The sequence below is a fragment of the Homo sapiens genome, chromosome 6 (genome assembly GCF_000001405.40).
Source record: "Homo sapiens chromosome 6, GRCh38.p14 Primary Assembly".
NCBI classification, from domain to species: Eukaryota; Metazoa; Chordata; class Mammalia; order Primates; family Hominidae; genus Homo; species Homo sapiens.
The window spans coordinates 114,715,371-114,741,556 of NC_000006.12; the positions used below are offsets into that span (position 1 = coordinate 114,715,371).

The 26,186-nt window shown below is 36.8% G+C and overlaps 2 annotated features.

Moving 5' to 3' along the window:
• Positions 10,398-10,918: an enhancer, noted in NCBI's record as "H3K4me1 hESC enhancer chr6:115046932-115047452 (GRCh37/hg19 assembly coordinates)". NCBI's record gives its function as "activates a minimal SCP1, AML or CMV promoter by ChIP-STARR-seq in primed H9 embryonic stem cells {active_cell/tissue: H9 hESC(primed)}" and the evidence as "EXISTENCE:reporter gene assay evidence [ECO:0000049][PMID:30033119]".
• Positions 10,919-11,437: an enhancer, noted in NCBI's record as "H3K4me1 hESC enhancer chr6:115047453-115047971 (GRCh37/hg19 assembly coordinates)". NCBI's record gives its function as "activates a minimal SCP1, AML or CMV promoter by ChIP-STARR-seq in primed H9 embryonic stem cells {active_cell/tissue: H9 hESC(primed)}" and the evidence as "EXISTENCE:reporter gene assay evidence [ECO:0000049][PMID:30033119]".

The window sequence follows — 26,186 nt, forward strand, 5'->3', positions numbered from 1 at the left end:
CAATGCAGATACCTCAGCCCCCAGTCCAGGAAAGTTAATCAGAATCACTTGGATATAGGTAGTTTCGAAAGCTCCCCAGGTGATCCTCATGTATTGCCACAGCTGAGAATCATTGCCTCTGTTAGTTGCTCTGCCCATCTAATTGAAATAGATTCTCTCAGGTGTCGCTGAATAAGGACCAGGTTTACTTAAGCTCACCATTTCTGTAGAAATTTAGATTCTGGTAACCACTATCAGGAGATCTGTATTAGGTCAGTTCACTCAACCCTGGCTTTCCTATTTCAGCTTCCTTTGCAACTCTGTCAGTGGAAGACAAGTTGGGGTAGACAGGGTACAAGGACAGCATGGAAGAAAGAAAAAAATGCATCCCATTTTTTGTTATTTTCTCAACAGTCTCTGAAAGAAAAGAAAAAGAAGGTGAGTGTGAATAAAACCTTTGCAGCTTTATTCAAAGTGTTAGAATCTATACCCTATATTTCTTGTTGGATATAAACTAGGGCAAATAACATCCTCAGAAAAGTGTTTCTTTTCTTGTTGCCAAAAATGTAAAACTAGGATAAAAGATAAAAAGTTTTCTACGTGAGGGTTAGAGACAACTCATCTGTTAATTTCCTGCTCCTGTTGGCTTACTTGCCTAGCCTTCTGACTTCTGCTGCCTATAAAAAAGTCATATATGGGCATTTGCAGTTTTGATGAGGTAAAATTTTAGAATACTCTGGATGAGATACCGTCACAGAGTAAAATGGTGGGGTTCATCATATTTCATTAGGATAAGCTGAAGGGAAATATTTGTAGGTAATTTAATTTCCAGAAATAAGAGTTCAAGTGTGATCGTTAGGTCAGTGGAGAAATTAAACTTATTCTTTATAACTTATTAAGTCCAGTGAGAAATGTCTAGGAGTGGATGTAGAGAAGTACAGTGACTTTTAGTAAAAAGGTTATTCCAAGTAACACTCTTTGGAGCCTTCAGGAATGAAAACGTAGGTATGAGGCATTCTCACTTGGATTTTAATGGTTCTGATAAAATGGCATGGAGGAGTAGTGATTTGAAAAAGAGCAAATACCACCCAGTTGCTTTTTATTAGGGTTATAGAATTGTACCTGGTAAAAGGAATAACCAAGAACCCGTGATGAAGCTCTGGGAAGTCACTTGAGTGAAGCCGAGAAAACTACCTTATTTGAAAAAAAGCACACATCCTAAAAGAAAATCAGATGAAAGATTATGTTCTCTCTCAAATGGTATCTGGTTAGCAGGGCCTGAGGCAGAAACTCAACATTGAAAACTAACACAGACAGATACCCTGCCACCCTTATCCTGGAGGAATTTCTAATTTTAACAACAGCAGACCCAGAGTGAAATCAGCTTCTGTATCTCCTCAGTGAGCAGCAGTTACTCTTATTCAACAAATGTTTGTAGAATACATGAATTATGTATAAGAATATATATAATTATATAAGAGAATGAATAATGAGATAAAAAGAAATCAAGAAGGCACTTTAACCCTGCCACATTGGTAATATCAATCAAATGTCTTCAATTAATTCCTACCCTTTGATCTAGCAATTATACCTTAGGAATCTGTTCTAAGGATATAAAAAATGCAAATTTATGTGAAGTATCTTCATAAAAGCATTATTCATAATATTAAAACATTACAATATTGGATTAAATCGAAATGTTCAATAATGTGAAAATAATTAGATGATTGCATATTATGTTTCTGAAGGCTGTATATTATAAAAACCCGCATTTTCTACTAAGTGGGAAAAATAAATGTATATACACATTTTTCTTATAATTAAAGAAATAAGTGACTTTTCTGTCTGTCTACAAAAGACTAAAAAGAAATATATCACCATGTTGACGGTAGATATCTGGGTATTTGGGTAATAGATTGTTATTGTCTACATCTTGTACAATAAGTTTTGTGTTACTTTTTTATTTGAAAAAAACCAGAGATATTAATTTTAGGAAGCTTTTTTATATCTTGAGATTGTAGATAAAGATACTGTACAAAGATTCCTCTGATATGGTTCAATCAAAGAGTATTTACCATGTGGTAAGCACTGCATATGGTTGTAGATGGTATTGAAGTTTCTTCAGAAGGTGTCTGGGGGCAGAGAGCTAGCTATCTGGTTGAAATAGTACAAAAGTCCATTTAATGTATGCTAAATTGAAAGGCCTGATTGAAGTACTGGGGAGGGACAGAGTAGATTGAGGTATACGAGCTGCTGTAGGCAGAATGACTTCAAGAGTATTGAGGCTGATGAAATTTCAAGTTGTCCCTAAAGAACAAGGTGTTACAGGCAGGGCAAGTGGTAGAAGTAGAAACAAACACTGAGTGAGCTATGAAAAAAAGACAAGGCAAATCTGAATGGAGATTGCATGTTGGGGAATAGTGGAAAATAAACTTAGATAATTTGGGGGAAGTTGGATTTTGAGCAGGGTTATGAATTGGCAAGAGAACTGATAGGGCTATGTGTGTTCAATGTAAGAATGAAATAAGTAAAGCAACTAAGTCAGTTGTTGCAATTTTTAAAGGACTAGGGGAAATGAAAGAACTAGACTGAGTGGGATCTACGCAATTGATGATACAGAAGCTATAAATAGTCACCATCAAATGGTTGTTGGGAGAAAACACAATCTGCAAGATAAAAATGGGGGAGGTAAGGCCAGGCTTTTGCCTGTAATCTCAGCACTTTGGAAGGCCAAGGTAGGAAGATAACTTCAGGCCAGGAGTTCAAAACCAGCCTGGGCAACATAACAAGACCCTGTCTTTACAAGAAAAAAAAAATAAATTGGGCAGAATAAAAAGAATAAGCCTTTTAGGTTGTGAGTTACAGGAAAAAGAGGTAAAGAACATAAATGAACAAGGCAAACACATGAGGAAGTGTGCTCTTGGCTAAGGAGTACAAAAATTCAAAATAGCAGAGTGATTCAACTCATTCGTCTGAGTGCCTCCCAGAAACCATATTGCTGCTTTGAACGTGGAAACTGTAACTGAATGAAACGTTGTGTTGTTTGCATTCTGTTGCCATCTGCTGTGAAAGCAAGGCCCTGAAGGTTTTACCTACAAAGAAAAACTTAAATTCTTAAGATGTTTTGGAAATTTTTCTCAAAAAAAAGAAAAAAAAACCCACAAAATTTTCTCAAGAGCTCCAAAGAATGCATAATGACAAGTAAACAAGGCAGAATTTAAAAAGAAAGAAAGAAAAATCTTGCAAAGAGTTACAGGGATATGTTACTGGCATCGAGAAGGAAGAAGGCAGATTTGTAATGATGAGTGAATTAAATAGAAATATAATTTGTCTTGATTCATAGTATCCCAGATAAAACAGAATTTTTAATTAAACGTATAATTATTACAGAAAAGGCAAGAAACTCTGTGCCTTGAGGTGAGAGAGAAAGTAAATGGGATGCCACAGGGTCAGTGATCTGCTGTGGGCAGCCCCTGATGCTTTTGTGACTGTTGGTCCAGCTTTTGCACTAGATAGTTCCAGGGGTCTTGAAAAATGGAAATCTGGATCAATGTTGCCATCTGCCCAGGCTTAGTTTTGGCAAGCTGTTAACTTATTGCCTCGGGTCATACATTGATTCCTAGATTAAAGGATTAAAGTACTAATGTAAATACTCTAATCCAGCTACCAGAACCACAAAATGGAGGAATAGGCCTCCAACTTTTAATTTAATTATGCTGTCTATTCAGGATATTTAACAAGGGGGCTATTATGTCATGTGTAGTAAGCATTTCTAAAGGCTCTGATGAAGGAAGTCAAGTCTTGTGAAAAGATCTGCCTTATAAAGAAGGTTACTGAATGGTTTTAATTTTTTAAAAATCTTGTTGAGACCAACTGAGATTAAGTTAATAAAGGGTTAGAAAGATAATTCTGGAAGATAAATGAACAACAAAAAATTCTGAGTAAAAACTAATTGAACAAATGACATAACATTTTAAAATGCAACCAGCAAAATTAAATGCAAAGATTAAGGCACCCCACTTTTAAATACTCTTAATAAAAATAAATAAAGCATAGAAATTATATAAAGAGCTACTTTATTTGTCTTGTTTTTATTTTTTTGAAAGATACATGATATCTGGATATCCTAAAAAACATGTGAGTCTGTTGTGATCACCAATAATAGTAGTTGATGAGGCTTGTGATGGCCATTGATGTCAGGATTAACTGTGTGGTATCTGCAAAGCTAGGGAGTATGCCTAAAGAAATATTGTTATTGAACTCCTGGGAATCACTCGTTAATGAATGTGTGGGTTAAACTACAAGTTTATTACCTGGTACATTTTTAAGGAGAGCATTTCTACTAACAGCATTTGTCCAAAATGATCTGAAGAACATCAATAAAGAACTGTAACACCTCTGCAAAATGATGCATTTATAAACTTTGACCATAGGTGACCTTATTAGCTATGGCAGTAAGATGCTGCTGAGAGTGACAGGCACTAATCATAGTCCTTGTAGAACTGGAAGGAGCTTTAGAAAAGGATCTTTGCCAATCCTTTCATTTTATAAATAAGGGAGCTAAGGCCAGATAGGTTGTCGCTTGCCCAAGGTCATATCATTAACTGGTAGTAGAGCTAGGACTGGAATACCAATCTCCAGAGAAATCTTGGATTGACAGTTCTGACATTGGGCATCTTTCCTGGATATCACCTTGCCCTATCCTACCCTGAATCAAGAATAATGTAGACTCTTCCAAAGAAACAACAACAACAAAAGAGGCTACTGATGAGAGAAAAACAGGTGCAAGAGAATGATAATTTCAAAAGCTATTAGAGGGTAGTATATGTATATGTTTTCCTACCAAATTTAATATTAAAGACTGAGGGGTGTGTTTATAACACATTTCTTTTCCTTTTTTTTTTTTGAGATGGAGTCTTGCTCTGTCGCCCAGGCTGGAGTGTGGTGGTACGATCTCGGCTCACTGCAACCCCCACCTCCCGGATTCAAGCAATTCTCCTGCCTCAGCCTCCCTAGTAGCTGGGATTACAGGTGCCTGCCACCATGCCCAGCTAATTTCTGTATTTTTGGTAGAGACAGGGTTTCACCATGTTGACCAGGCTGGTCTTGAACTCCTGCCCTCGTAATCTGCTGGCCTTGGCCTCCCAGAGTGCTGGGATTACAGGCATGAGCCCCTGCGCCCAGCCTCATAACACATTTCTTCAAGATACAAGATTTCTTTAAGATATACAGAATATGGAGGTGACTTAAATACTTGTTATTATCACCAGTATCACCATCGTCATGCCATTATCATTACTTGAGAACTAATAATGTGCCCGACACTTTTAGATATTTTACAAACATTATATCCTTGGTTCTTTTTTTTTTTATTTTTTTATTTTTTATTATACTTTAAGTTTTAGGGTACATGTGCACATTGTGCAGGTTAGTTACATATGTATACATGTGCCATGCTGGTGCACTGCACCCACTAACTCATCATCTATCATTAGGTATATCTCCCGATGCTATCCCTCCCCCCGCCCCCCACCCCACAACAGTCCCCAGAGTGTGATATTCCCCTTCCTGTGTCCATGTGATCTCATTGTTCAATTCCCACTTATGAGTGAGAATATGCGGTGTTTGGTTTTTTGTCCTTGCGATACTTTGCTGAGAATGATGGTTTCCAGCTTCATCCATGTCCCTACAAAGGACATGAACTCATCATTTTTTATGGCTGCATAGTATTCCATGGTGTATATGTGCCACATTTTCTTAATCCAGTCTATCACTGTTGGACATTTGGGTTGGTTCCAAGTCTTTGCTATTGTGAATAGTGCCGCAATAAACATACATGTGCATGTGTCTTTATAGCAGCATGATTTATAATCCTTTGGGTATATACCTAGTAATGGGATGGCTGGGTCAAATGGTATTTCTAGTTCTAGATCCCTGAGGAATTGCCACACTGACTTCCACAATGGTTGAACTAGTTTACAGTCCCACCAACAGTGTAGAAGTGTTCCTATTTCTCCACATCCTCTCCAGCACCTGTTGTTTCCTGACTTTTTAATGATCGCCATTCTAAATGGGGTGAGATGGTATCTCATTGTGGTTTTGATTTCAATTTCTTTGATGGCCAGTGATGATGAGCATTTTTTCATGTGTCTTTTGGCAGCATAAATGTCTTCTTTTGAGAAGTGTCTGTTCATATCCTTCACCCACTTTTTGATGGGGTTGTTTGTTTTTTTCTTGTAAATTTGTTTGAGTTCATTGTAGATTCTGGATATTAGACCTTTATCAGATGAGTAGATTGCAAAAATTTTCTCCCATTCTGTAGGTTGCCTGTTCACTCTGATGGTAGTTTCTTTTGCTGTACAGAAGCTCTTTAGTTTAAATTAGATCGCATTTATCAATTTTGGCTTTTGTTGCCATTGCTTTTGGTGTTTTAGACATGAAGACCTTGCCCATGCCTATGTCCTGAATGGTATTGCCTAGGTTTTCTTCTAGGGTTTTTATGGTTTTAGTTCTAACGTTTAAGTCTTTAATCCATCTTGAATTAATTTTTGTATAAGGTTGTAAGGAAGGGATCCAGTTTCAGCTTTCTACATATGGCTAGCCAGTTTTCACAGAACCATTTATGAAATAGGGAATCCTTTCCCCATTGCTTGTTTTTGTCAGGTTTGTCAAAGATCAGATAGTTGTAGATATGTGGCATTATTTCTGAGGGCTCTGTTCTGTTCCTTTGGTCTATATCTCTGTTTTGGTACCAGTACCATGCTGTTTTGGTTACTGTAGCCTTGTAGTATAGTTTGAAGTCAGGTAGCGTGATGCCTCCAGCTTTGTTCTTTTGGCTTAGGATTGACTTGACAATGCGGGCTCATTTTTGTTCCATATGAACTTTAAAGTTTTTTTTCCAATTCTGTGAAGAAAGTCATTGGTAGCTTGATGGGGGTGGCATTGAATCTATAAATTACCTTGGGCAGTATGGCCATTTTCACGATATTGATTCTTCCTATCCATGAGCATGGAATGTTCTTCCATTTGTTTGTATCCTCTTTTATTTCCTTGAGCAGTGGTTTGTAGTTCTCCTTGAAGAGGTCCTTCACGTCCCTTGTAAGTTGGATTCCTAGGTATTTTTTTCTCTTTGAAGCGATTGTGAATGGAAGTTCACTCATGATTTGACTCTCTGTTTGTCTGTTATTGGTGTATAAGAATGCCTGTGATTTTTGTACATTGATTTTGTATCCTGAGACTTTGCTGAAGTTGCCTATCAGCTTAAGGAGATTTTGGGCTGAGATGATGGTGTTTTCTAGATATACAATCATGTCATCTGCAAACAGGGACAATTTGACTTCCTCTTTTCCTAATTGGATACCCTTTATTTCCTTCTCCTGCCTGATTGCCCTGGCCAGAACTTCCAACACTATGTTGAATGGGAATGGTGAGAGAGGGCATCCCTGTCTTGTGCCAGTTTTCAAAGGGAATGCTTCCAGTTTTTGCCCATTCAGTATGATATTGGCTGTGGGTTTGTCATAGATAGCTCTTATTATTTTGAGATACGTCCCATCAATACCTAATTTATTGAGTTTTTAGCATGAAGCGTTGTTGAATTTTGTCAAAGGCCTTTTCTGCATCTATTGAGATAATCATGTGGTTTTTGTCATTGGTTCTCTTTATGTGCCGGATTACGTTTATTGATTTGTGTATGTTGAACCAGCCTTGCATCCCAGAGATGAAGCCCACTTGATCATGGTGGATAAGCTTTTTGATGTGCTGCTGGATTTGGTTTGCCAGTATTTTATTGAGGATTTTTGCATCGATGTTCTTCAGGGATATTGGTCCAAAATTCTCTTTTTTTCGTTGTGTCTCTGCCAGGCTTTGGTATCAGGATGATGCCAGCCTCATAAAATGAGTTAGGGAGGATTCCCTGTTTTTCTATTGATTGGAATAGTTTCAGAAGGAATGATACCAGCTCCTCCTGTACCTCTGGTAGAATTCGGCTGTGAATCCATCTGGTCCTCGACTTTTTTTGGTTGGTAAGCTGTTAATTATTGCCTCAATTTCAGATCCTGTTATTGGTCTATTCAGAGATTCAACTTCTTCCTGGTTTAGTCTTGGGAGGGTGTATGTGTCGAGGAATTTATCCATTTCTTCTAGATTTTGTAGTTTATTTGAGTAGAGGTGTTTATAGTATTCTCTGATGGTAGTTTGTATTTCTGTGGGATCGGTGGTGATATCCCCTTTATCATTTTTTATTGCGTCTATTTGATTCTTCTCTGTTTTCTTCTTTATTAGTCTTGTTAGCGGTCTATCAATTTTGTTGATCTTTTCAAAAAACCACATCCTGGATTCATTAATTTTTTGAAGGGTTTTTTGTGTCTCTATTTCCTTCAGTTCTGCTCTGACCTTAGTTATTTCTTGCCTTCTGCTAGCTTTTGAATGTGTTTGCTCTTGCTTCTCTAGTTCTTTTAATTGTGATGTTAGGGTGTCAATTTTAGATCTTTCCTGCTTTCTCTTGTGGGCATTTAGTGCTATAAATTTCCCTCTACACACTGCTTTGAATGTGTCCCAGAGATTCTGGTATATTGTATCTTTGTTCTCGTTGGTTTCAAAGAACATCTTTATTTCTGCCTTCATTTTGTTATGTACCCAGTAGTCATTCAGGAGCAGGTTGTTCAGTTTCCATGTAGTTGAGCAGTTTTGAGTGAGATTCTTAATCCTGAGTTCTAGTTTGATTGCACTGTGGTCTGAGAGACAGTTTGTTATAATTTCTGTTCTTTTACATTTGCTGAGGAGAGCTTTACTTCCAAGTATGTGGTCAATTTTGGAATAGGTGTGGTGTGGTGCTGAAAAAAATGTATATTCTGTTGATTTGGGGTGGAGAGTTCTGTAGATGTCAATTAGGTCCGCTTGGTGCAGAGCTGAGTTCAATTCCTGGGTATCCTTGTTGACTTTCTGTCTCGTTGATCTGTCTAATGTTGACAGTGGGGTGTTAAAGTCTCCCATTATTAATGTGTGGGAGTCTAAGTCTCTTTGTAGGTCACTCAGGACTTGCTTTATGAATCTTGGTGCTTCTGTATTGGGTGCATATTTATTTAGGATAGTTAGCTCTTCTTGTTGAATTGATCCCTTTACCATTATGTAATGGCCTTCTTTGTCTCTTTTGATCTTTGTTGGTTTAAAGTCTGTTTTATCAGAGACTAGGATTGCAACCCCTGCCTTTTTTTGTTTTCCATTTGCTTGGTAGATCTTCCTCCATCCTTTTATTTTGAGCCTATGTGTGTCTCTGCATGTGAGATGGGTTTCCTGAATACAGCACACTGATGGGTCTTGACTCTTTATCCAATTTGCCAGTCTGTGTCTTTTAATTGGAGCATTTAGTCCATTTACATTTAAAGTTAATATTGTTGTGTGTGAATTTGATCCTGTCATTATGCTGTTAGCTGGTTATTTTACTCGTTAGTTGATGCAGTTTCTTCCTAGTCTCGATGGTCTTTACATTTTGGCATGATTTTGCAGCAGCTGGTACTGGTTGTTCCTTTCCATGTTTAGTGCTTCCTTCAGGAGCTCTTGTAAGGCAGGCATGGTGGTGACAAAATCTCTCAGCATTTGCTTGTGTGTAAAGGATTTTATTTCTCCTTCACTTATGAAGCTTAGTTTGGCTGGATATGAAATTCTAGGTTGAAAATTCTTTTCTTTAAGAATGTTGAATATTGGCCCCCACTCTCTTCTGGCTTGTAGGGTTTCTGCCAAGAGATCCGCTGTTAGTCTGATGGGCTTCCCTTTGAGGGTAACCCGACCTTTCTCTCTGGCTGCCCTTAACATTTTTTCCTTCATTTCAACTTTGGTGAATCTGAGAATTATGTGTCTTGGAGTTGCTCTTCTCGAGGAGTATCTTTGTGGTGTTCTCTGTATTTCCTGAATCTGAACGTTGGCCTACCTTGGTAGATTGGGGAAGTTCTCCTGGATAATATCCTGCAGAGTGTTTTCCAACTTGGTTCCATTCTCCCCATCACTTTCAGGTACACCAATCAGATGTAGATTTGGTCTTTTCACATAGTCCCATATTTCTTGGAGGCTTTGCTCATTTCTTTTTATTCTTTTTTCTCTAAACTTCCCTTCTCACTTCATTTCATTCATTTCATCTTCCATTGCTGATACCCTTTCTTCCAGTTGATTGCATTGGCTCCTGAGGCTTCTGCATTCTTCACGTAGTTCTCGAGCCTTGGTTTTCAGCTCCATCAGCTCCTTTAAGCACTTCTCTGTATTGGTTATTCTAGTTATACATTCTTCTAATTTTTTTTCAAAGTTTTCAACTTCTTTGCCTTTGGTTTGAATGTCCTCCCGTAGCTCAGAGTAATTTGATCATCTGAAGCCTTCTTCTCTCAGCTCGTCAAAGTCATTCTCCATCCAGCTTTGTTCCGTTGCTGGTGAGGAACTGCGTTCCTTTGGAGGAGGAGAGGCACTCTGCTTTTTAGAGTTTCCAGTTTTTCTGTTCTGTTTTTTCCCCATCTTTGTGGTTTTATCTACTTTTGGTCTTTGATGATGGTGATGTACAGATGGGTTTTTGGTGTGGATGTCCTTTCTGTTTGTTAGTTTTCCTTCTAACATAGAGGACCCTCAGCTGCAGGTCTGTTGGAATACCCTGCCGTGTGAGGTGTCAGTGTGCCCCTGCTGGTGGGTGCCTCCCAGTTAGGCTGCCCAGGGGTCAGGGGTCAGGGACCCACTTGAGGAGGCAGTCTGCCCGTTCTCAGATCTCCAGCTGCGTGCTGGGAGAACCACTGCTCTCTTCAAAGCTGTCAGACAGGGACATTTAAGTCTGCAGAGGTTACTGCTGTCTTTTTGTTTGTCTGTGCCCTGCCCCCAGAGGTGGAGCCTACAGAGGCAGGCAGGCCTCCTTGAGCTGTGGTGGGCTCCACCCAGTTCGAGCTTCCGGGCTGCTTTGTTTACCTAATCAAGCCTGGGCAATGGCGGGCTCCCTTCCCCCAACCTCGCTGCTGCCTTGCAGTTTGATCTCAGACTGCTGTGCTAGCAATCAGTGAGACTCCGTGGGCGTAGGACCCTCCGAGCCAGGTGCGGGATATAATCTCGTGGTGCGCCGTTTTTTAAGCCTGTCGGAAAAGCACAGTATTCGGGTGGGAGTGACCCGATTTTCCAGGTGCCGTTGGTCACCCCTTTCTTTGACTCAGAAAGGGAACTCCCTGACCCCTTGTACTTCCCAAGTGAGGCAATGCCTCTCCCTGCTTCGGCTCGCGCAGGGTGCACGCACCCACTGACCTGCGCCCACTGTCTGGGACTCCCTAGTGAAATGAACCCGGTACCTCAGATGGAAATGCAGAAATCACCCGTCTTCTGCGTCGCTCACGCTGGAAGCTGTAGACAGGAGCTGTTCCTATTCGGCCATCTTGGCTCCTCCCCTCCTTGGTTCTTAAAAAAAGAAATATGCATTATTTTAACAAAAACTGTTCTTAAAAAGCATAAGAAACTTGCTTAAGTGGTATACAATTACTAAATAATGGAGCTAAGCTACAAATCCAGGCATCTTTGGTCTCTAAACCTGTGTTCTAATGACTATTTACATCAGCCCACAGCTCACCACTGTTAAAATACAAATATTAACAGAATGACATAATTTGTCTTTTATACCATCATGGAAAGATTTTATTATCAGGTAGCATTCCAGAATACCTCGTATTTTCCCAACTCCCCTTGCAATACCTCATGCAAAATGTGTATCATGTGTCAAGAAGATGCAAAGTGGTGAGTGGCAGAGGAGAACCCGGAGGTAATTATGGGTAGGGTGAGCAGAGGAGAAGGATCCCAGTATGGAAAATGAACCTTCAGCTGGCCTCCTGCGAAATCTGCTCCCCTGTGTCTAGACCCAGATAGTTTCTGAGTAAATGTTTGTTGATTATTAGAAGGTAAATTTTCTGAAAATTATTTTAGAACAATTGTAAAAACTGTTGCTCAAATGTTTCGCTTTGTAAAGTTATCAAGATATTATAGATGCCTCATAGATTCCCATTTAAAAATGTACTACAATCCTAAATTTCAACTATACATTTTTCAAGTATTTTAATGAACTGATACGGACAGCTAACCTTATATGAACTCTCCACCCGAGGCTGTGAGCTGCCTCTCTCAGTTGTGGCTTGGCTCCTTAGAGATTGCCTTTTTTTTTTTTTTTTTCGGTCAGGTGTTTTTTCAAATATCTATCATGTTTTATAATGTAGAAGTGTGCAAAAGGCATGGTCTATGATCACAGATTTTTTTAGTCTAGTGGCAAAGACAGACATTGAGCAAATAAACATGAATAAAGACACAATTGCAAATTGTGCTAAGTGTTATAAAGGAAACACTAAAACAGCAAGTGGTAAAGAAGCATCAGAAGGCTAAGTTCCAGATGAGGTGGGCAGAAGAGAAGGGTCCCTTGGCTGGCTTATGTTAGGCCTATTAACCTTCAAGTTAAGGGACCTGTATTTCATGAAGGAAGGTCGTGAGAATGCACATATCCTACAGAGAGAAGTTGAACTTTGACAAAAATAGGGTTGGTTCGGTCTGAAAGAACGAATATGTCTTGGAAGCCAGACATAATTACACACACTCTACATATTGGCTGGCTATATACAATGGTGAAAAACTGAGGAAATAAAGCAAGTATGATACAAAAGCAAAAGCAAATTCCGAGACCTTGTAACTAGTGATGATAAAGGAAAGCTGCATTATCATGGTGTGTCATAGTGAGTACTCTAATGATCCATCTTTCATTAATAAAGAGTCCAGTTACATTGCCATTAGCAGAAGACAGCTTTTAAAAGGAAGAGTCTGGAGAAAGCATTGATATTTTTTTAATTGATTCTTTTTCTAAACTATGTGCTTGCCTCTTCAACTAATAGCAAAAACGTCTTTGTGGTCTTCTGATGTCTGAGGAAAGGTGAATGTTGGTAGGTGGGAAAAAACTCTCTCATTGAAACAAAGGCTACTGTATTTCTGGGCCATCTACCAATGACACACTCATTTATTATTCTTGAGACCCAGGCCTGTTAGTACTATTCCAAGTAGCAATCCATGAAAAAATGGAGGATGGATTTAAATTAGAAGGATGCCATCTTCCCCTCAACAATATCTGGGCCCTTTAGAGGGGGTACCTCTGAGGTACCAGTCACTTTTTAATTTTCCATCTCTGCATTGGTAAAGGGTTAGCACTTCCAAATGTTATAACATTTTTTGAAAAATTAGGTGAGCTGCATCTATACCAAGAACAAGGACTCTAGACCCAGAGTTACTTACCTGCAGCCCATTCATTCATTCATTCAGATATATCTCATATATTCAATCAACATTTATACCTCATATGTTTAGGCACTTTTGTTAAGCCTTGGGGATTCAACACAGAACTAAAATCTAGTACAGTAAAATCTAGCGTAGCCCTTAAGAACTTCAGAAAGCAGAGAGGAAGGCTGCTAAATAAATAGAAACATTTTAAGGGTAGAAAAGAAAAATTGCACCTGATAGAGTTTGACAAAGAAGACTTTATTTAAGACTATTGCCATAGGGAAGAGAGATTGAACTTAATTCTACTGAAACAGGCAGGAGAGTTTCTAAGCTCTGGGACAAACCAGTGAAAAAGTACTGGAGGATATTAGTGGCAAAGTTGGTCAATGTAATTAGGTGGTGGGTGTTTGGAATTGGTGCTCAGGGAAATTAGGCTCCTCCCCTCCCACAGAGATAGCAATGGAGTGCTATCTTTCTTGGTGAGTACATTCAAAGGGTGGCTCCCAGCTCCTTAAAAATACATTTCTGGGTTGTAAACTGGCAAGAGGCTGGGAGAAAATTCATATCTCCAGGGGGCAGAGAAAGAATGACAATTTCAAGTATTCTCAAATAAATGCTCCAAGAAAAGGGAAGTCAGGGGCCAATAGGCAGGAAGAAACCTGCCTGTTCAAAATGTATTCAAGCTGATGGAAAGGAACATGAAGGCTGTCTTGATTAGTACAGAGTAATCAATGGAATGTTGGAATATTTATCTCAAGGAACATACAGGAAGATAATAGTTCAGTTATATAGGCAGTATAAGTTAAGATGATTCACAGTGCCATTTAAAAGTTAAGAGGCAAGGTGGTATGGTCAAAAGATTTTGAGGTTTTAAGCCTGACTGTTGTTTGTTGCTTGTTATAACAGTGTGTGATATTGGATGAGTAACAGTGTGTTTGAGCTACTGTTTTTATTTTTGATGGAGAAATGATTGTCTGCTCTACCTAATTCATAGTGTTATGAATAGCAAATTCAATAATATTTTCCTCTTCACCTGGAACCCCATTTAAGTAGTACAGCAGCAAATAAATGCAATATAGAATTATTAATTGTCAAAAGGTTCTAAACCTAGTCAGTTTAAAAATATACTGTTTTTAGTTTTCAACTAACTAGAAATTCTCTTTTTATATAAACCATCTCCCCCCAAAATTTTCATTTGGAAATGTATTGCTTTATTTCATTAAACCATCATAATTAGCATACCAAAACTTTTAAAAATAGTATAAAAGAGAAAACATTTTCATATTTCAGATTTCTCTATTAAGAGATTACTACAACATGCCCAAATGGGGTTTATTTTAGAAAACAAATGGGTTTATGTTAGGGAACCTACTAATATAATTAATAGGTCAGAGAAAAATACTATTTTCAAAAGATTCAGAAAGGTAATTTTATAATATATAACAACCAGTTCTTATTTTTAAATTATGAAGAAATAGGAATGGACAGTTACCTTTATAATGAAAGGCTATCTATTGAAGTCAACAGAACTTCATATTTAACCTTGAAGCATCAGAGGCATTTCCATTAAAATCAGAAACAAGACTTAGAGGCACTAACACTACTATTAGCATTGTTCTGGGAGTAGGAACCAATCAACTGAAACAATCAGCAGTTATAAGAGATCGTACCATTAAAAAAAGAGGGAAAATATGACTCACAGAATTCTTGAACAAATAAGTGTAAATTAGAGATTCTGCTGAAGATAAATTAGAAATATTAAAAGCTTATTAAAGAAACTTATTATAAATAAATGTATAAACAATATAGTTTTATATTGTAGCCAAAAAAAGTAGCAAAAATAATTTTAAAATGTCATATTCCAAATGACCTAACAATTGAATTATAAAAAGAAGCACAGAGAGACTTTGTGAAAATAACTACAAATCGGTAATGAGGATGAAATTAAATGACTAAACAAAGAGACATAATGTGTTCTTAAATGAGAAACTAAATATTACAAAAATAAATACATTAATTATTTTCATATTAATTCATCAAGGTAATGTGATTCTAAACAGAATGAAGAGAATATTGAACTTGAAAAAGTACTTACAAAGTAATAAAGCAGTCATAAAATTATAAAATACATCTATGTTATTAAAAATATAACCATACACAACTGAATGAAGAAAATTTTTAAAGATTTTCTCCTTTCTTTCTCCTTTCTAGCCCCACACATTTTCCCAAAGCGTCCAAATGTACAGAGTAGCTTGAGATATCTGAAGAAGCCACCCCATTGCATGTTACATGTGCTATAAGTAGACAGTTCTTAAAGTAATATATTACTGGCCAAGAAGTGATACAGCGCAGTTTAAAAAGATTGACTATGACCAATGTGGTAAAAGGAAGATGACTGAATTTGTTAGGCTTAGGGGAGTGTCTGGCTCTCTGTGAGCAGAGTGCTGATTGAATCAGAGTGGATTCATTATATGGTGCTGGAACAATGGATTCAGAACAAAAATAAACTTAGAGTCTTTTCATACACCATGCCCCCAACTTATTTCACCGACTTATTTCACTATGCAGCCAACTTATTTTAAATAACTAAAAACAAGAAAACATGACAACCACATGGAAATATAGGTAAATACAATTTCAGAATGGAGATCTTTCTAGCATAAACTTGGCAGAAGAAATGATATGGAAAAAGTGATTGCTTTGACTGAATAAAGACTACTAATATTTTAAAAGTCAAAGAATTAGAAATAATAAACTAAGGGATATATTCAGAACATATATATTAAATGTAGAAGTATTATTTTTCTATGTAAAGAGATATATTACTAAAATCAGTTTGAAAATTATCACATCAGTATAAAATTCAGAAAATAGAGTAAACTAAAAAATTATCTATAAAAGCTAACATGTAAAAATAGGTTTCTTAGTGGTTTATAAGGAAAGTAATAAAATTAAAACAAAATACTCTTTCATCTTCCACATTATGACAAGTAAGCAACATAACATCTAGTGCTAGACAGTCGTAAAATGGGAGTTTCTCTTGTACACTATTAGCTTGGATATAAGAACCTACAGCCTTTCTGGAAGCTTAGTTGGCAAATTGAATTAGGAGTTTTAAATAACCTTTGGACTAGAAATTTCATAAATAGGAATTTTTCAAAATAAGTACATTTAGATTAGATATAATCTAAATATCCACAGATATGAGAAAGACTGTATAAATCACAGTACACCCATAGAATAGAATATTATAAAAATGTTTAGTTATGTTTTTAGAGAGTTTTAATGAATGGAGGAATGTTTATAAAAGGGAACTGAACAAACAAAACAATTAGAATGAAATTACATATGGTAGGAATACAATTTCATATGTTACATATGTAAATGCATAAGCAAAGACATGCCTGAAATCCACTGAAATACTAATCTTCAATTGTGGGTAAACTTTCATTCTTTTTACCCTAAAGTGTACTAATTTTCAAAAGTTACTATTAAGTAGTCAGAAAAAAGTGCTAGCAAAACATAAATGTATTGAGGACTGCTCATGGTTTGTTTATAAAATGTTTGTTGTCACATTATTCCAACAATTGCAAACATCCCAAAAACATTGGGTAGATATTATATAGATTATGAATAATTTTTCTCTAAACTCAGCCCAACTATAACCCTAATACTAGCCATTCTGCTTCATAAGTAGCAAAGCAAGCCACATGTTTTCAAAATTAAAAAAATTTCCCATTGTTCTGAGATTATGAAAAATTATGTATAGTATAATCTTAATGCATCAGATAATAAAACAGATAATGTAAATTTATTCTGGGCACTGGAAAACAGTGGAATTATGCACTTTGTGTCAGGTATCCATCTTTTTCTAATTTATATATTTTTTATTTAATAAATATTAAGCATTAAGTAAAACTTACATTCTGAAAAAGATTACATTGTCAGGAGTTATAAATTAAAATATTAGAAAAATAATCAAGATGATAGTTTTTCTGGGACTACCTAAGTTCTAAACTCCAGAACTTAACTGATAAAGGGAACAAATCTTATTTATTCACTGCAATATTTTCAGTGAAACTTCCTATCCCCATTACTTTTATATATTTATTTCCCCTCATTTTTGTATTAGTGCCTCGCCTCATCATCATTTCCTTTGAGCATTAGTCTTTCAGTCAACTTGATAGTTCCCTACAGGATCCACTAACCTGTTCTAAACATAGTAAGCACTCATTAAATAAATGGATTTAATTCCATGTTTCATGCACATGCAAAATTATTGCTAAGCTTGCATGTTCAATTTTAGATTATTTTTCTCTACTAATGGATAATGCCTTTACAGGTATTGTCCATTTAATACCCTGCATGCCTAAGACTCAGTGACTTTCTCTAAATATCTAGCTATGAAATTAAACTATTGAATATTTAATAATGCTTAAATATTCATGTTCTTGGAGGGCAGGAATATATAAAAATGGGATTCATATTTTATTCCCTTAGATAATGGTAGTGAAACAATAATCATTGCATCTCTTGAGCATATAGTTTGCTATAGAGCACAAAACTAAGTAAATGTCCATCATATAGAGATAGCCAGAGGCCTGAATTATTGGGTGTGAGATGTCAGTACCATTTGTATATTAATAGTTGTTTGCTGGATTTCCTAAATTAGATAACTTACCTTCATTTACTTACTGAAGTAATTAGAGGCTGTTATAGGATAAAGTTAAAATTATAAATTATTTTTTCTTATTAATGAAAGAGTTGTGGAATCTACGAAGGTATTAATGAAGTGTCAAGAAATATGTGGACTAAGAAAAAGTAGAGATATATAATTTAGCTTAATTGTGTTAAAAATAAATATGTATTACCAGGGTGGATGAAATCTTGCATGTTCTGCTAAAATAGGAGAAAATAGAAGCAGCAGGAATGATGACTGAAGAACTCATTGTATAAATCAGTGGTTTCTGAACTGGTGCAACTGCAACATCAGATACAAATGATAGTCCACTGAAGCATGGGAAGAAAATAGTAGCACTAGCATTTACAAATTTGCTGAAAAAAAATTAAAGTTAAGCTTTGCCTATATTTTAAATATGAATTGGTACTGGAGTCTTCACTAGTTCATTATGTCATATTTCTTATTTTGTGAAGAACCCTGAGGGAAGAGTGGAGGTTGCACAACCTTAAGAAAATGTTTGCTTTCAGCATTTTGCAATGCATTATAATGTGCAGGCATCTCATTAGGTGGTTTATGGATTATATTATCTAATTTTAACTACACTAAACTTCTGCAAATGGATAAATGATCAAAATGAATTTCGTGAATAACTCTGGATTGTAGATAATATTTGTAAGTACAAGCAAAAAAACAACTCTCCTCCCTACTCCATAAAAAAAAGAGCTGAAATTCTGCTTCATGTATAGGTTTTTCACTAGCTACATTCCAAAGCAAGATTAATGAAGATCCAATCAGGTCAGGTAAAAAGGTCAGCTAAATTCTTTGCAATTATGAAATTATTAAGAAACTTGGCTGAGTGTGGTGGCTCATGCCTGTATTCCCAGCACTTTGGGGGGCCCAGCGGGGTGGATCAGTTGAGGTCAGGAGTTTGAGACCAGCCTGACCAACATGATGAAACCCTGTCTTTACTAAATATACAAAAATTAGCCAGGCTTGGTGATGTGCGCCCATAATCCCAGCTACTCCAGAGGCTGAGGCAGGAGAATTGCTTGAACCCGGGAAGGGGAGGTTGTAGCAAGCCGAGATTGTGCCACTGAACTCCAGCCTGGGTGACAGAGTGAGACTCCATCTCAGAAAAAAAAAAAAAAAAAAAGATTTGAACAATATGAATGATATACTTCAATACTCTATTTTTAACAATAAACACCCTATACATTTTGTAAATGATAAACATATCATATCTTGAAATATTGGCTAATAATAGTATATTTATACATCTGTATAATTTTTAAAGAAATCAAGTAAATATACAGGTTATGATCATGTGTAACTGTTTATTTCATTATTTATATTTTCTTTTTTTAAAATTAATTAATTAATAATTGCTGATACGGGTACTTCTCAAAGAAGTTTGAAGACCACTGTTAGAGATTGTGAGTTTAACATTATCCTGGACAAGGTGGACCAGGACTGGGTTAGGCAAAATGGTAGGAGCTAATATAAAGTGAATATTTATCAATATGCACATCGAAAAGTAAATCTAAGCATTAGATGAGAGTTAGGAAAAGCCTGACAGTGATCTTCAATTAATGACTAATCAATACTCCAGTACTGACCAAAATTTTCATAATGTTACTGAATCCCATTTGGAAAGCGTAGGAGTGGTGTTATACACTGTTCAAGGCAAGATTCCCTAGGACACTTTTGATTAGGAACCTATCTGACAGCTAAGTTCCATGCTCACTTTCTAAATGTAAGTTTTTTCCTGTTGAGGCGGATCATCCAAGAATATAATCAAGAGCATGTGTAGACTACCCTTCTAACTGTAAATTAATACCATCTCCTTTCCTTTAGCCCTGACTAGTGCTATGCTGGATGTTGCAAAGTATTTCAGAATGGCTACTGTAGGAGTCTGTATTCCAAGTTTTATTTTAGATCAGAGTAAAGCAAAAAAGATGCATTTGCTCTGTCCCATAGGTTGTACTCTCAGAATACAAATACACTATTTAACAGGAGGAGCAGAACCTCTAGGGGCAGCAAACAGGCTGTTTTATTCCAAAATGTTAGGCAAAGCTAATGTCTGGGGCTATCTCTGGACTCCCTACTGCAGTAATGATGAACTTTAGAGATTTGGAGTTTTAGAAATCCATCCTAAGAGGGAGAAACTGGGTCCTTCTTGTGGGAGACCTTAGACGTTCTCCAAAGACAGGAAATTGCTGCTGTAGGAATGATGTCACTACTTAATGAAGGCACTCCCTAGCATACTACAGCACTCTGAAATAAGTTGTGGTAACTTTGGAATGCCAGAAAGAAAATAGACACAGAGCTAATTCCGTCTTTGTTCTTCTCACATAAGCTGGGAAAAAGTGATCAGACAAAACGTGAAGCCTATGCCTGATGCATTCACCAGATATAAACAAACGAAAAACACTAAAGCAGATTCATACCAGGCTTATATCTGAAAAGTCATAACTAGATTCATACCTGAAAAGTTATTGAAGTTACTTTTATTGAATTTTGTCTCTAGGAACAAATTGTGCACATCTGGGCAATAAATACCTGGTGATAGATGATTTAACTCATCATGGTTAGTGTGTCTCACAGGAGAAAAGAAAGTAGCAAGAGTCCACCATAACTAGAGTGTCATGGGAACAAGTTTTCTTTCTTTTTTTTTTTTTTTTTTGAGAGGGAGTTTGGTTCTTGTTGCCCAGGCTGGAGTGCAATAGCACGATCTCGGCTCACCGCAATCTTTGCCTCCTGGGTTCAAGTGATTCTCCTGCCTCAGCCTCCCGAGTAGCTGGGATTAGAAGCATGTGCCACCATACCTGGCTAATTTTGTATTTTTAGTAGAGATGGTGTTTCTCCATGTTGGTTGGACTGGTCTCGAACTCCCGACCTTAGGTGATCCGCCTGCCTCGGCCTCCCAAAGTGCTGGGATTACAGACATGAGCCACCGCGCCCAGCCAAGTTTTCTCTTTTTATAGATTTTCTGGTAAGATTCATTCAAATTAAGGAGTGTATTTTTTAAAAGAGCTTATTTCTAATAAATTTCTCATATTTAAAGTTATAATTTGATAAGCTTTAGTTTGGTGTATACATCCATGTAAACATCACCATAAGAGAGGGAACATAGTTGTCACTCCTTTGAGGTAAGTATAAGACCCAGGGGGAAGACTTTTTATAATGAGAAGAACATTATGCTGATAATAGATTTTTGAGGAATATTAACTTATATAAGGGATAGAAAAAGTGTAAGAGATGAGAAAATAGAAGTCAAAAGAAAGGTAGGAGGAATAACAGTAGGAAGAAACAAATGATGAGGACAGGTTTTAAAAGGCACAGGGTATAAAAGTAATAAAATCAAGTGAATGAAAATGGTAAATATCCACCAGTTTGGCACAGGAAAGCAATTGTGGGAGAGATTTTAATCAAAATGATGAGGGTAAAAATCGTAGTGCCAGTGATTTTGTGGCAATGGGAGGTGAGGAGATGGTAACCTTGAATATAGACTACCCTTTTCAGAAACATGGCTCTAAAGTTCCAGGGAATTATGGTAGTGAGAAAGAATGTAGGGTCCCTGGAGGGTTAAGGGTTCGCTTGTTTGGTCTGTTTTCTATTTTTGTTAATGGTTAATAGTTGTTTACATCTATTGACTTTCAGAGAGATTAAGTAAGAAGATGGTGAAGATAAAATAGAAACAGGGATAATTAAGAGTGTGAGCAAATGAAAAAGAAAAGAAAGAAGACCCAGATAACAAGTGAAATAATTGTTCAGGTTAAGTTAGAAGGGTCCTTCTTCTAACAAATGATGAAGAAAAGAGGTGAATATCTATTTTGGGCAATTTTATCTTTTGATTTTTCTTATATCTCTTTTGTTCTGACTTCTAAGTCAATTGGCTAGGCTTCTGTTTTTCTACCCAAATCTCCTTCTCTTTCTTTCTCTCTCTCTGTCTCTTTCTCTCTCTCTCTCTTTCTCTATTTTTTTTCTTTCTTTCTCTCTTTCTTTTCTCTCTCTTTTTTTAGATGTTCTTAGTAAATGGTACCACCATCAATTCAGGACAACAATCTAAAAGTCATCCTCAATTTGTGCCTTTCCTCTACCTTGTATATGCAATCCGTCAATATATCCTTCAGTGCAACTTTCAAGATACGTTTTGAATGTAATCATTCCTTACTCTCTCTACCACCAACAACCAACTCAAACCATCACTATCTATCTACTGTACTTCTGCTAAAGTTCCTTAATGGGTAGGTTGACCGTAGACAACTTCCTAACCTAAAGAGAGCATTTTCTTTGAAATGGATTAAAAAGATATTTATACTTAAAAGGAGTATTAGAAAAGACCCAAAGGGCCTAAGAGGAATGATCATCCCACTAATGAATTCCCCTGTTTCCATTCTTGTTCCTGTGCAGTCTGTTCTTCATATGACTGCAAGAGTAAAGGGTAATCAAATGGTGCCAGCATTCCTCCTCACCTATTCCCACCTTCAAACTTTTTGGAGACTTCTATTAGACATACAGTTAAAAGCAACTCCCCTCAATAATCTGCAAGGCCTTGCATGAGCTGAGGCCTGATCACCTTTTCCAACTTGTTTCAGATCCTAGGCCCACTGCCCATCTTTCTTTTTTAGAATCCATCAGCCAAATAGTTCTCTTGCCTACTTTATATAGCTAAAAAACAAACAAACAAACAACAACAACAAAAAACAAATTCTGTCATACCTCAGGGCTTTTTCATTTGTTCTTCTTTCAGCTAGGGTGCACTTTTCCTGACTCATCCTATGGGTGGCTGTTTCTGAAGAGTTAAGTCCAAGTTCAAATGTCATCACCTCAGAACATTCCTTCCTCACCACACAAGTAGCACACTTCTAACCTCCCAGACACTATCTACCCTACTACGTGTTTATATTCTTCATAGAGTTTGTCACAACCTATAATTATTATGTATTTTTTGTTTACTTCTGTGTTATTTGTTTTCTTTCACTGATAGGTAATTCCATGAGGTCGAAGTCCATGTCTATCTCAGTCATTATTATGCTCTAGTCAGTGTCTGTATATAGTAACCACCCCTCAAAAACACTTTTTTGAGTGAATATATGGGTAACAAATAATTATATTAGCAATGGGGAAATCAGTGAAAGAATTCTTAGCTAATGGCCTCTACTTTTTCTGAAAGGTAAAAGAAAAATTAATCTACAAAAAAACATGAAGCGTAGTTCAAGAATAGACTAGATTTCAAAAATAGATATGTACACATTACATATGTACATATCTATTACATGTACACATTACATATGTACACATATATGTACACATTACATATGTATGTATTTATTAAGTGATAAAAGTAACACTACTGTATAGTGGGGTTGGGGGAAGAATGATCCTTTTGCTAAATTATGCTGGGTCAATTATATCCATATGAAAAACTACATCTAGACCTCTACTTCACAACACATACAAAATCAGTATCAGATGGATTGAAGACATAAATTTGAAGGGAAAAATATAGCTATTAGAGGAAAATGTATGATAACGTCTTCATGACCTTGAAGAAGGCACAAATTTGAGATATAGTCACATAAAAATTATAACTTGGACTATATTAAAATTAAGAACTTGTGTACCTCAAAAGATTACATTAATAAAATGGAAAAGTATTCACTATATGTAAGTCCAAATCATATGTAGAAGTCCCTAAGATCAATAAGAAAAAGATGATTAAGTAGTAATAGAAAGAAAGTGTCTTGAATAGACTCATCACAAAAGAAGATATCCTAATAAAACCAGGAAAAGGTGCTCAATTACCATCATTCAAGAAACCAAGTAAAATATTCTGAGTTTTTAACACAAAGTAAAAATTAAATGTGATGATACTACACATTCTCCAGCATAGCTAAAATGAAAAAGACAAAAAATGCCAAGAGTGGAGCAACCAGAACCCTTACACACTGTGTGCTGTGGTCTGAATGTGTTTTCCCAAATTCATGTGTTGGAAACTTAATCTACAATGGAATAGTATTGGAAGGTGGGGCCTTTTGGGAGGTGTGTAGGTCATTAGGGCTCTGCCCTCATGAATGGATTAATGCTGTTATTAAAAGGGCTTGTAGGAGTGGGTTTGCCCTGTTTGGCTCTCCTGCCTTTGAGGACAAAGCAATAAGGCCCTCACCAGATGCTGGTGCCATGATTTTGGACTTCTCAGCCTCTAGAACTGTGAGAAATAAATTTCCATTTTTTATAAATTACCCAGCATCAGATATGTTGTTACAGCAGCACAAAATGGATTGAGACACTATGTGATATAGTTTGGATATTTGTCCCCACCCAAAGCTCATGTTGAAATGTAATCCCCAGTGTTGGAAGTGGGGCCTTATGGAAGGTGTGTGGATCATGGGGGTGGACCCCTCAGGACTTGGTGCCATCCTCATGGTAGTGAGTGAGTTTTCATGAGATCTGATTATTTGAAGCGTATGGCACTTCCCTCCCACACTCTCTCTCTTGCTTTCTTGCTTTCACCATGTGAAGTGCCTGCTTCTGTTTTGCCTGCTGCAATGAGTAAAAGCTCCCTGGCACCCCTCCAGAAGGTGAGCAGATGCTGGCACCATGCTTCCTGTACAACCTACATAACTGTGAGCCAATTAAACCTCTCTTCTTTATAAATTAGCCAGTCTTATATATTTCTTTATACCAACCCAAGAATGGCCTAGTACTTTGTGCAAAACTGTAAAATGTTACACCTGCTCTGGAAGGTGGGTGTTTTTTTAACAACTAGTATAGCTGAGCATATGCAGGAAATATGATCTAACAATTAGATACCTAAGTATAATTTTACTCCTAAGTATACATCTGTCAGAAATGTACAAGTATTGCAACAAAAGACATGTACTAAAATTTTTATAGCAGCACTATTTTTAATACCTCCAAACTGGACACATACCAAATGTCTGTCTATAGTATAATAGATGAATATACTATGGTGTATTCATAAAATGGAATTCTACATAGCTTTGATAATTTCAAACTATACTCAACAACATTGAAGAACCTCAGGAACATAATGTTGAACTAAAAAAGCCATAGACAAAAGAGTACACACTATATGATTAAAAAAGAAGAGGAGAAAAGGAAAAAGAGAAAATGCAAAATAACCTGTACTCTTTGAAGCAGCAGCTTGGGAGCACGGCAGAGCTCTGGGTTGCTGATAATGTTTGGTTTTCTGGTTAGGGTGCAGGCTTACACAGCATATTAAGTTTTTGAGAACCCATAAAGCTATATATACCTTTATGCGCTTTTCATTATGTCATGTTGTACTTTAATAAAAAATAACCTTAAAGCTTATGTAGTTGTGGCAGGATATAAGGATTGAGCATACCTGAAGTAGTTGATATTTAAGGGAACTAACTAGAGGGCTTGCCAAGCAGTGTATGGTGCCAGGCTGAGGTCAGAGGCTTGGAATCTATTGTACATAGCTATGCAATGACCTCCAATCTCATTTCGGCAGTTGTATTAGTGTAGAGAAGGTAGACTGTTACAGATCTAGGTTGAAGTTTTTTCAGGGTAGAGGTGGCAGAAGGTTAAAGGAGAAAGTAAGTTCATGTTGTTAACAAGGGATGCATTCATGTTAACAAGGGATGCATTTATGTTAGTGAGTCTAGACTGGATAAGAAGGAAAAATGAGTTTATTTGCACATTGAGGAAAGGTAGGGAGATACAGAACTAGAAATTTTATGGCTTTTAATTGTAGTAGGAGTAAATAAGTGAGAAAATGAAAGGGTAAGTGGTAGTACAAATGGGAGTTTACAGCTGAAAACTTCAGAAATGGAACAGTTCTAGGTAATTACAAGGTCCAATGCAGAGTTATGGGTTTGAGGGGCTGGGGAAAAGTGGATATGAAGGTCATCAGCGTTGAAAAGCTCAATAAACTATAAAGCAAACAAGTGAATTGGTCTTCCGCATAGGCATTGAACTAATCAGAATATTGAAAAGATTTTGAGTGGAGGGGAAAGTCGTGCACATGGTATTGAATTATTTGATAAATGTGAAGAAAGGACTTGGAGGCTCATGCATGTCTCTGATTGTAGAGCCAAATGGCATCTTTTGAAAGGAGGTCAGATGCACACAATGAGGTGGAAGAGTAAAAGTTGTAAGGAGCTAGATCTGAGGATGGGCTAGAGTTGGGGACTAGCAGCTGACACCTTTCCTGGGGCATGAATTCCCTGTTCTGGTGACTAGCATTCTCCAATTCAGACAGCTGGGAAGTTAGTGG